The 12395-nt window shown below is 47.8% G+C and overlaps 1 protein-coding gene across 17 annotated transcripts in view, besides 2 other annotated features; it reads right to left on the bottom strand.

The window, feature by feature from the left end:
• Positions 1-9522, bottom strand: part of PCBP3 (poly(rC) binding protein 3) — a 298726-nt gene extending 289204 nt beyond the window's left edge. For all 17 annotated transcript variants that reach the window (NR_145492.2, NR_189734.1, NM_001382284.1 and 14 more), the window contains 1 exon segment: positions 9379-9522. The gene's annotated coding sequence lies outside the window, so the exon portion shown is untranslated.
• Positions 8868-9007: a silencer, noted in NCBI's record as "silent region_13411". NCBI's record gives its function as "represses an Ori minimal core promoter by ATAC-STARR-seq in GM12878 lymphoblastoid cells {active_cell/tissue: GM12878}" and the evidence as "EXISTENCE:reporter gene assay evidence [ECO:0000049][PMID:35858748]".
• Positions 9328-10317: a silencer, noted in NCBI's record as "silent region_13410". NCBI's record gives its function as "represses an Ori minimal core promoter by ATAC-STARR-seq in GM12878 lymphoblastoid cells {active_cell/tissue: GM12878}" and the evidence as "EXISTENCE:reporter gene assay evidence [ECO:0000049][PMID:35858748]".

Below are 12395 nucleotides of genomic sequence, written 5' to 3'. Positions count from 1 at the left end.
AAACAGAATATTTAGTATAGTACATTGAACCCAATTATTTCCAGGCACATAGGAATATCTGAGAAAACTTACATACCATATTCTGGGCTACAAGGCAAATCAGCATATTTCAAAGGATTAAAATCATAGAAAGCAGGATCTTTGGGCAATATAATTTTGCTGAAGAATAATAAAACAAGAAAATATGCATATGTTTAGAAATGTTTAAACGTTCTTCTAAATTACCTAGGAATCCAAGAAAAAACCATAATGGAAATTAGAAAGCATAACAAACAATAATGAAAATGCCTTAGATCAAACTTTGTATGATGTAGTTGAGGCATTGTTTACAAGAAAATATATCACTTTAAACACACATATTAGAAAAAAAGGAAAAGCTGCAAATTAATAAATTAAGCATTCATCTCAGATTAGAAAAGAGAACAGCTATAAGAAAGGAAAATTACAAGCCAATTTCACTCACAGGCACAAATGCAAAAACTCCAAACAAAATATTAGTCATCAGGGCGGGCGTGGTGGCTCACACCTATAATCCCAGCACTGTGGGAGGCCGAGGCGGGCAGATCACCTGAGGTCAGGAGTTTGAGACCAGCCTGGCCAACATGGTGAAACCCCGTCTCTACTAAAAAATACAAAAATTAGCCAGGCGTGGTGGAACGTGCCTGTAATCCCAGCTACTCTGGAGCCTGAGGCATGAAGAACTGCTTGAACCCGGAAAGAGGAGGTTGCAGTGAGCCAAGATCATGCCACTGCACTCCAACCTGGGCAACAGAGCAAGACTCCGTCTCAAAAAAAAAAAAAAAAGCCATCAGAATCCAGTCACATATTTTAAGAATAAGCTGGCATGATCAAGTTATGTTTAAATAGTAGTCATCTGTGGGTAGTAGAATTATCAAGATTTTATTCTGCTTTTTATGCTAATCTTTCCTTTAGAAATTTTCTACACAAACATCCATTACTTTAGGGACCAGGAAAAATATTTTTGAATTAATCATTAATATTCTGATCTCTCATCTTTTTGAGATCAACTAATTAATAAATGGCAAGAAGAAAAGAACAAGGGCTGGCTCAGAACAGCCATTCTGTCTGAATAATATAAGGATACAAGGCTTTATTTGTCTCAGTGTCTCTACTGGGTTGACTGAGAACAAAGAAAGGGTGAATAGGAGTAGAAAAGGATTTACAAAGATAGGAATGTGATAATAGCAATTTGTAGGCTTTTCCCCAAACATTAAAGGAGCGATCTCATACACAAATGCGTCTATAAATAGAATCCATATTGCACTTTAATGAATAATTTAAAACCACTCTGCAAACAGGGTTAAGAAAACAGGAACCTAGATGCTCAAAAATCAATAGTTCTGTCCTATCCCAACCTGGTGAGTTACAGAAACAGATGTCTAAGTCTTACATTATTTTTTAGAAATGTTGGAAAATAGATGGTTAGGTAGAAAAGGACTTAAAAACATTTACAACCTTTGAGCTAATAGTTCTACCTTTAGAAATTTAGAAGCAATCAGTGATACGCACAATGATTTTTGTATAGGATATTTTTCAAAGCATTATTTATCATGATGAGTATTTTAAAGCAACATAAATGTCTAGCTATAGGGAAATGGTTCAATAAACTGGGACACTCTTTGGAATAGTATGCAGCCATTTGAAATCATATTTTAGAAGAACACATTATGAGACAAGGAAATGCTCATGATCTAGTAAAAGGAAAAATATTGGTTCAAAAAACATACTTTGGAATGAATCCCAACTTTAGGATATGCATATCATACATAAATACAAGTAGGAAAAAACACTGAATATCCTTTTGTGCTAAGATTAAGGATAATGTTGATCTTCTACTTTATAATTTTCTGTTTCTTCCAATTTTTCTACACAAAACATTTGTATTACTTTTATAAATAGAAAAAACGTTGTATAAAAGAAAATAAATAATAAGCTGGTTACCTTAAATAGAGTCGAACACCCTTCATCAACCCAAATCCACTTCTAAGGGGAGGTCAGTAGAGATCAGTACATCAGTTTTCTATTGCCACATAACAAGCTATCACAAATTTAACACCTTAAACCAATATGTATTTAATATCTCACAGTTTCTGTGAGTCACGAATTTAAGCAGGCTTAACTGGGTCCTCTGCTTAGGGTCTCACAAAGCTGCATTCAAAGTGTTTGCCAGGCTGTGTTCTCACCTGAAGCCTTGACGGGAAGAATCTGTTCCCACGCTCACTCAAGATTATTGACAAAATTTGTTTCCTTGTGCTATTGGACTGAGTGCCCCCTGCTTCCAGGATGAGGAAGATTCTACCACCCCGCCCCATCTGAAATTAGGTATGGCCAGAATGACTCCTTCTGGCCAATGAAATGTGAGCAGAATGGACTAGCGACCCTTCCAAAGTGATTAATTGCTACTGCAAGTGTCTCCATATTTAAAAAGGTCCAGATCCAGACCATTTAAGAATCGATTTTGCCAAATTTCCAGGAAATAAAAATTCCTCCCTTTCCAAAACTATGACATTTGGGAGGCCAAGATGGGAGAATTTCTTGAGCCCAGGAGTTGAAGACCAGCCTGGGCAACATAGCAAGACCCTTATTCTACAAAAAGAAAATTTAAAAATTATCTGAGCATGGTGGTTTGCGCCTATAATCCCAGCTAATCAAGAAGTTAAGGCAAGAAGATCACTCGAGTCCAGGACTTCAAGGCTGCAGTAGGATATGATAGCACCACTACACTCTAGCCTGGGTGACAGAGAGAGTCCCTGTCTCTAAAAAAAAGAAAGAAATTATTACAAAGATGATGAAGTATCATGTTGATACCAAATCTGAATAAGGGTGATACAAGAAAAGATTATCACTGGTCAACACCTCTTATGAATATATATGCCAAAATCCCAAATATTTGCATATTGGGTCCAATAATTTAGGCTGGAGTGCAGAGGCATGATCACAGTTCATTGCAGCTTCAACCTCCCAGCCTTAAGTGATCCTTCAACCTCAGTCCCCCAAGTAGCTAGGACTACAGATGCATGCCACCATGCCCGGCTAATTTTTTTTCTTTGGTTTTTTTTTTTGTAAAAATGGGGTCTCACTATATTTCCCAGTCTGGTTTTGAACTCCTGCGCTCAAATGATCCTCCAGCCTCAGCCTCTCAGTGTTGGGATTACAAGTGTGAGCCACCACACCTGGCCTGGTAATATTTTTTAATGTAGTACATCACAGTTTCTCCCAGGAAATCAATGATGGCTTAAATTAAAAGAATAAAATATCTCATCTCAATCACGATTTTTAAAAAAAGCTTAAAATTATCTAAATAAGTACACTGTATAGAAAACCATTTGAGAAAATTCAAAATCTATTCATGATTTTTTTAAAAAGCTTTTATTAAACTACTAGTAAAGTGATCATCCTTAACCTAATAAAGGAATCTACCAAAAAAAAAATAACAAAGTTCATAATTCAGTCTTTCACAGCATTTCTTTTAAATGAAAAACAATATAAGGATAATCTTACCACAATCTCCATACAACTTTCTCTAGTGGTCCAAGCAAAGGAAAAAAGACAAAAAAAGATCAATAAAAGATTTAAGAACTAGGGAGAAAGAAATTAAATTATCATTAGGTACATGAAGCAACCAGAAACTGATCCATGCATTTGTGAAATCTGATGTGTTTCAGAGGTACCACTGCAGATCACTGGGGAAAGGACTGTATTCAATAAACAATACTGGTACAATTGGTTATGAATTTGGAAAAAATTTAAAATTGGATCTCTATCTCATACCCCACACAAAAATAAGTTCTAAGTAGACTATAAAAAGCAAATATTTAAATATTTTTTAAAGAGGAGGATATATTATGACTGATATGGTTTGGCTGTGTCCCCAACCAAATCTCATCTTGAATTCCCATGTGTTATGGGAGGGACCCAGTAAGCAGGTAATTGAATCATGGGGGCAGGTCTTTCCCATGCTGTTCTTGTGACAGTGAGTAAGTCTCAAGAGATCAGATAGTTTTAAAAGGGGAGTTTCCCTGCACAAGCTCTCTCTCTTCTCTTGTCTGCTGCCATGTGAGATGTACCTTTCAACTTCCGCCATCATTGTGAGGCCTCCCCAGCCACGTGGAACTGTAAGTCCATTAAACCTCTTTCTTTTGTAAATTGCCCAGTCTCGGGTATGTCTTTATCAGCAGCATGAAAATGGACTAAAACAATTACCTTGTAGTAACACAAGATTTCTTAAATCAGACTCAATCACCATAAACTGTAAGGAAAATATTGATAAATCTGACTACATTAAAACTGAACATCTGTTCATCAAAACAGCACATTTAAAAGGATAAAGAACAGGATACAAATAGAATCCAGAATATGTAAAGAACTTCTAAAAAGCTATAAAAAGGATAATCCAGACAATAAGTGGACAAACAATATAAGAATACAATTTTTAGAAGAAGCTCAAGTGGCCAAAGTATGGGTAGAAAATCCTCAAACTCACTAGCCAAGGAAATGCTAATTAAAACAGTAAGATATTTAATATCTACTCAATTGGCAATAATTAAAACATCTGAAGCTACGAAGGATTAGTGAGGATGTAAAGAAACAAACCTCTGGAAAGTAATCTGACAACAGCTATGAGGTTGGAATTGGGCCTAGCCTGTGACACCACAATCTCAGTGGTAAGTGCATACCTGGTCTACTCTTTCTCAAGTGTCCAACACAGAGGAAAGATGACCCAGTGGGACACGGCAATTGGGAGTGGTATAGGCTGTGGAAGCTGCTGAGAGAGACTGGAAGTGGGATTTGGGCCAAATAAGACAATATCAGATGCCAGTCTTACCTAGGAGGTGAAATAGAGAATAGAACTATGCTTATCTGGGCTGAATTATACCCAAGTGGCAGCTCCATCATTTTATCTTCTAAAACCAATCTAATCATGTTATTCCCTCCTTAATTTTGTCAGCTAAGACTGCCAAATGAAGAGACCCAGTTTTTATCGGTTTCTTACTGCTGTTGGAACAAACTTCCAGACACTTAGTGTTTTAATACAACAAACATTTATCTTACAGTTTTGGAGGTCACAAGTCAGACAAGGGTCTCACTGGGCTAGAAACCAAGGACTGCATTCCTTTCCCAAGTCTCTAGGGGACAGAATCCCTTTTCTTGCCTTTTCCAAAGGCTTCCCACATTCCTTGACTAGTGCACCCTTCCATCTTCAAAGCCAGCAATGGCAGCTAGAGTCTTTCTCACCTCACATCACTCTGACACTGACTATTCTGCCTCTCTCTTCTACTTTTAAGAACCCTTGTGATTACTCAGAGCCCACCCAGATAATCCAGGATAATCTCCCTATTTTAAAATCAGCTGATTAGCAACCTCATTCCATCTGCTGCCTTAACTCCCCTGCCATGTAACATAACATAGTCCTGAGATTAGGATGTGGACAGCTTTATGAGCCATTATTCTACCTACCATGCAACTCCTCCTCCACTTTCACCCCCCTCCATCTCCAACAAAGTTCCAACCATTTCACAATGCCCCTAACACTTCCAGCAGGGTCCCAACTCCTTCACTATGCTTCCATACCTCCAGCCTCCACACCACTACACACTCTGTACTCCGGTTATTCCAACCTTCCAGTCTTTTTCTAATAAATGTATACCCAATCCATGCCCAATTATAACTCATGCCCTAGGGTCCAGCCCAAAGGCCACCTCCTCTCTAAAGCTTTCCCTGATTCTCGGCCCAAATGAATTGCCCCTCAACACGTTTGCCTGGTTTTCTATGTATCCCAACTGCAGCACTGAGTATGGCCCCCTGTAATTATCTGTTTACATGTTCCTTCCTCAATCCGAACAGGTGAGCCCTTCAATAAGAACTCTGTCTCATTCCCTCATGGGTTCCCAGATCATAGCATAGGAAATGGCAAACAGTAGGGAATCAGGGAGTATTTCTGAAGCTTGGATGAGGCAGAAGGAAGTTTTCCTGAGTTTCTGTCAACAAAAGAGATGTCAAAGAGTAACCTGGGTTAAGTGTACAACAAATGGGGCCACAGAATCAGTTCAGATGATCATAACAAAAAGCACCTCAACAATCCACTGCTTAGCTTGATATACAACTTACTACCATGTGACATCTCTGTACCACAAGTGACATCTATCTTTTTTGTTTTTTTTTTACTGCTAACCTGTGGGGCAATTCTAAAGTAACTGACAACATTAACCTCAAGAGAAAGAAAAGATTCATGTAAAATGATTTACAAAGATGTCCTCAATATTAGAGAAAAGAGAGTAGATATAGCTCTAACACAACAGGAATGCCTGGCAACCACTCAGTAGCCCAACACATAAACAGATCCCATCGCCAGGAAAGGCTGAGAACCAACATGCTGGAGAATGCAAAACATGCTAGAGTCAACCCTTTTGGGAACAAGTTGCCCCTACATAGATATATGCCTACAGATGTATGTCTATATTGTAATAAAGGTGCTATGATTAGAATATCCCCTCCAAAACTCATGCTGAAATGTAATCCTCAATGCAGAAGCAGTATTGAGAGGTGGGACCTTTAAGAGGTGATTGGATCAAGAGGGCTCTGCCCTCATAAAATGGATTAATCCATTCATGGGTTAATGGATTAGTGGGTTGTCATGGGAGTGGAGCTGGTGGCTTTGGCCCCCGGACCTTAGACTTCTCAGCCTCCATGACTATAAGAAATAAATTCCTTTGCTTTGTAAATTACCTAGTTTCAGGTATTCTGTTATAAGCAAAAGAAAACAAACTAAAACAAACTGGTACTTTCTTAAAGGAATGGTTGTTAAGAAAACAGGGTTTCATTTAATGTCAGTGATTTGTTACTTGATGCCCATACTCAAGCAACAAAACTCCCACCTAGAGAGACAGTGAAGACTAAGCAAAGGAAATTGAATGTTGTAGCATAATTATCCTCCTTAAAAAGAAGAATAAAATGGCGTGTTTTCAAGACACGCTCCCATTCAACATAATTTCCCTGATCAAATTTTATTTAATAATATGAATTCTGAAATTAATTTTAAAGTACACTGGAAAGGAAGTTTGAGCTCCCCCTGCCCCAAAACACACACACACACACACACACACACACACACACACACAGAGAGAGAGAGAGAGAGAGAGAGAAAGAGAGAGAGAGAGAGAGAGAGAGAGAGAAACAGGTGACACGGATTCAGCACCATGGACAGCGGGCCCATGACGCCTTGCCTCTGAGTCACTGCCACCAGGGATGAGAGCTGAGACATCAGAGCTGCCCCAAAATCTACAGCATTTATTCTAATGTTTAAGTTGGGGCAATTCCAATACATGAGCAAGTATTTTCCTTGGTTATGGCCCAAAGCACTGCCTTCTTCACTGAGAGGATACACAACTTACATCTACTAAAATCTGTTTCAGTGTTCACCTTTACAATAAAGCCATGAGACTTTTGTAAAAATAGAAATGATTCTGCCATTGACACAGGAACTGAAATAATCAAAACTGATACACAGAATCCAAATCTGAATAGCTAGATTGGTTCAAGAAGCTCGTGAGGCTTTTTCAAATTTATAAATGCAGCATGCTGTCAGCCTCCTCAGAACAATAGGGTAAAGAATAGCTTCTTCAAAACAGCTAGCAAAATACAACTATATGTTGAACTTTTTCGCATAAATAGCTAAAAACGTAACCACAAAGCTGTGTGGGTTTTCCCCCACCATGAGCATTATAAAGATATCTGGGAAAGTGATGTTTTGAGGTCCAAAAGCACCACTAATCAGCAGCACCTGGGGCAACGCCAGCCAAAAAGCCCTGAATTCTAGACAGAGTCCATTTTTTTCAGTTATAAAGACCCCATTTATCATCAAAACTTTTTCAAAACCTTATAATATTATCAACTAAGAAAATACGTGAAGCTACGTAAGTTCTAAACCATTCGTAATGAACTTGCACTGTATAAACAACAGCATCTACATACAAGCAAAAAAAAAAAATACTGCTCGAAAGTGAGACATCAGTTAGTCGGTCACTGCACTTGTTAGTTTTAAGGCCCCATGTTTTCTGACAGATCTCCAAGCCTGAAAACACCAGAACTATTTCTGCTTCTGTCGTGTGATGATCAATTAGGTCCTTTCAGATCTTGCAAATGATCCCTTTAGAGTGCCACTGTTCTACAAACACTCCTTTTGGGGCCAAAATAGGTATCTCTGACACGCTTTAAGATGATGAATTATTCTTGAATATGAGGAGGACTGGGAGTTAGTTCTCTTAAATAGGGAAGCACCCTTGCACACTCCTTTGGGATCCACATCTGAGAAAGTCCAAAGAAAAGAAAAAGGGCAACAGTTTGCCCCTGAAAGTGAGTTCAATTTCAGAGGGATATGTGAGGGCCTGTGCCAGAGGAATATTTTTGAAATGGGGGGAGTCTATAAGTTGCCCAGTCTAATCTCTAAAGGCCTCTCCGCAAGGCCCTGCTGCTCAAGATTCCTTCTGGCGAATCCCACTCTACAAACACTCAACAACTAAGAGTGCTACTGGCTCACATGGAGGGCTAACAAGACCTGCAAATCCAGGCTGCTCTGAAGGACGGTGGAAGATAACCAACCCCGAGCCACGAGATTTAGGACCCGACTTTTGGTTAACTTTCAAATTTCTTATGCCAGTAATATACTTCAGAGTGGCGCGGAGGGAATTGGAAAACATCACCAGGCAAAAAAAAGAAAAAAACTCTTTCACGAAACAAGACTTCCAATTAGAACACGTGTGGGGACAATAAGAAACACGTTCTAACCACCCCCAAAATTAAAATAAAACACAGCGAGCAACAAGAGAGACCTGCGCGCGCCCCACCGCCCGCGCGCGGCTCTCCGCAGGGTCACCGAGGGGTGAGGCCGCGCTCTCCCGGCGGCCGTCCAGGGGGAGGAGGCCCCGCGCCCCGCCCCGCCGCCCTCCAGCCGCCGCGGCCGCTCCGGGGTGTTCCCCAGATCTCTTCTCAATCAAGAGATGAAATTTGTGCCGTTTTGAAACTGAAGCCTCAAGTAGTCCAGACGTTTTCTGACCCACATCCGAGACGTTCTCGGCTTCCCGCCGCAACTTCCGAATTTGGGGAGGGGGCGGAGGCGGGCGGGCCAGGCCTGGCGACCGCACCTTGAGGGAGCGCGAGTCCCCTCGCTGCCCCGGGCCGCCGCAGGCGCCGGCGGCGGTCGGGGACGGCGCGACCCAGCCCGGGACCCCCGCCCGCCCCGGCTCGGGCGAAGTTTGCCGCGGCCCGGGGTCGCCCCGTCACTCGGCCTCCGTCGGGGACTGGGTCCCCGTAACCCGCAAGGGCGCCCGACCCCGACCCCGCCCGCCACCGCTCACTCACCTGCCCTGCGCCGGACGGCGAGCCCGCGGGCCGGCGGGGAGAGGCCGGGAGGCCCGGGCGGGGTCGGGGCGAGGCGGGTGAGGAGGCGGCGGCGGAGCCTAAGTCAGCCGAAGCGGCGGCGACCGCGGCTGAGGCGGCTGAGGCGGCGGTCGCGGCTTCAGGCGCTCCAGCCCGAGCGCTGCGCGCGGCGCGGGCCCGCCCCTCTGCGCCGCTAACCAATCTAGCGCCGCGCGCCGCCGCCGGCCCCGCCCCCGCCCAAGGGCAGGCTCGCGAAAGCGGGCGCCGCGGGCCAATGAAAGGGCGGAACATCAACCGGCGCGGCCAATCCGAGCCCGGAAAGTTCTCTGGAAAAAGCCAACTCCAGTCAAAGGGGCGGGGGTGGGGCTGGGGGCGGGGCGGGGACCTGGCCCAATGACGCGCGGGGCGGGGCCGAGCATTGGGCGGGGAGGAGGCGGGGCCTCGAACGGGCGGGCCGGTCACTAGTAGTGGGCGGGGTCGTAGGCGGGACATTGAGCGGGCGGGGCAAGAATCGGGGCGGGGGCCTAATGAAGTGAAGCGGGGAGGGGACGGGCAGTGGGAGGGGCAGGTCACATTTGGGGTGGGGTGGGGGCGGGGCAGGGGCGGGGCTGAGTACGGGAGGCCAGGCCGGGGAGAGGCCTAAGTCGGGGCGGGCGGGAGAAGGGCAAGAGCAGTGGGCGGGGCTCGGGGGTTAGGGGATTAGTGCCCTTGCTGGGGCGGGGCCCAGGCTTGGGGCGGGCCTGTGGTGGGCAGGGCCGTGGATGGGCGGGGCGAGCCTTCGTGGGCGGGCCAGGCCTGTGGTGGGCGGGGCGGGCCGTTGGTGAGCGAGACCTTGGTGGACGGGGCGGATCCGCGGTGGGCGGGGATTTGGCGGGCGGGCGGGTGGGCCCGACGGGACGGGAATGGCCGTTGAATTCCCAGCCGTGCCGCAACCCCGAAGGTCCCCCTGCAGCGCCCGCTTCCCGTTCTCTGTGGGCCTGGCCCCGGCCCGGAGGCTGGGGCCGCAGCGCCCGGCGGGCAGGGGCCCCGAGCGGCTCGTGAGCCTGTGCCCAGACGCTGCCCGCCCCGCGCTGGTCCCGCCGCCCTGTCCCCTCCGCCCGCCCGGCGTTCGCGTGCCGTGGCCTGGGGCGGGGCGTTGCTGGGCCCCGGGGGCTGCAGGGGGAGGCCGCCCTTTCTCTGGGCTGGCTCCGGGCTGTTCCGCTCCGCGCCGTTTTCCCGGTACTTCCCGCGGAGCCCGCCTCGCTGTGCGTCCCCGCCCGGGCGTTTCTTCCGCGGCGCTGAGCGCCCGCCCCGGCCTCGGGCAAGGGCAGCCGGACGCCCCGAGGACCAGGGCGCTGGGGCCGAGGCGCGTCCTCCGCAGTCGCCGCGCCTGGGCCCCGTTTCCCCGCGGGTCCTCGCCGGGGTGGGAGGCGCCTCTTGGCGTCCGTGGGGAGCTGGGTGTGGGGGGCGGCAGGGCAGGAGGTGGGGGGGCTGAGCCGGAGAAACGTCCTCGCCCCGCCCGAGACCTCAGACACCCCAGAACCTCGGGCCGGCAGCCAGCTGCAGGAATCGCGCCCTAAAGCCTGGGGTCCGCGCCCGCCCGCCTCCCGCGAGCGCCAGGGGCTGCCGGGTCACCGGGATGCAGCCTCGAGGCGACGTCACAGACCCCACGCGGCCCCCCGAGCACCCCCGGAGCCGGCGCGGGGACAGGGGTTCGGGATGGACGGAACCCACGCAGGGAACGTTCCGGGCCGTCTACGCCAGGCTCAGGGCGGCCGTCAGCTGGGGTTGGAGGTGGGTCAGGAAGAGATGTGTCCTTTTGTCTCCAAATGTCGCTTGTGTCATTAAAAGACAACCTTAAAATAGAAGAAAAAAAAAAAAAAAAAGCCTGGGCTGGCGTGAGGAGGGGCCGTCCGCGAGCTACGGAGGCTGAGTCGGCGGGGAAGGGAATGTGGAGTGGGGCGGGGGGGGCGCTTGGCGAACCCGTGCTTTGGACGCGCTTGGCGGTTTCGGGGAGAATGAGAATGGAGGGGAGGGAGGCCAAGGCCTGCAGCCTGGTGGGAATGCTGGGAAGGACGCTGTGGACAGGACCTTACTGGAAATGAACCAGAAGGGAAGGTGGGCCGGGCGCGGTGGCTCGCCCCTTAATCCCAACGCTTTGGGAGGCCGAGGCAGAAGGATCGCTTGAGCCCAGGCGTTGGAGACCCGCATGGGAAACATCGTGAGACTCTGTTTTTAGAAAAGGAGGAGGAGAAGGGATACTGGGCGGCCTCTGCCACACCTGGACTCTGCGGGCAGGGGGCCAGAGGGACCCAGGGCTGCTGTGCTGGAGCTGGAGCTGGCGCGAGGGTCTGGGCAGAGCACTGTCAGCGCCCCCAGATTACAGGCTGCCAGCCTCCCCCGGTCCTCTGCGGGAGCCTGCGGCCTCAGCTGCCTGCCCCGCCGGCTGAAAGACACAGTTAGTCATTAGGAAAGTAATGATAGTGTTTTCAGGGCAGCGTGTTAGACCCTAAAGACTTTCTATTATTTGCAGTTCCTGCCAACCCTGTGAAGAAAAAAAGCAGCTCATCTCTCACGCCCCGCCTCTTGACACACGCTGATCCGGCCTGGTTCTGGGTTTTCCCGGAGCCTGCAGGGCAGCCCCGCCCCAGGCGGCAGCAGCTGGGCCTGCAGCGTGTCCCTCATGGTGCCCGGCCTCCAGGTCCAGAGTTTCCTGCCTCCCTGAGCTCGGGGTGCGCTGTCTCCACCCTCTCATGGCCGTCAGGGTGCTGGTCCCGTCAGAAGTGCACCCAGGGGCTCGCATTTATAAATAACTCCAGGGTGTCTTGCTGTGGGTTTGGAAATCGGGAAGGCAGGTTATCATCTGCTTGGAATGATGTCAGATCCAGCCCCAGGAAGTCTCCCAGCACCCGGCCTTCCTGCTTGTCATGGGCTGGGACATCTGGAGGGGTAGGGGCGAGGGCCTTCTGTAGCTCCACATTAGCTGGCTAAAGTGTGGGGAAAACAGTAACACACAGAAA

The sequence above is a fragment of the Homo sapiens genome, chromosome 21, assembly GCF_000001405.40.
Source record: "Homo sapiens chromosome 21, GRCh38.p14 Primary Assembly".
In the NCBI taxonomy this organism is placed as follows: Eukaryota; Metazoa; Chordata; class Mammalia; order Primates; family Hominidae; genus Homo; species Homo sapiens.
This window is presented reverse-complemented; position numbering and strand designations above follow the sequence as displayed.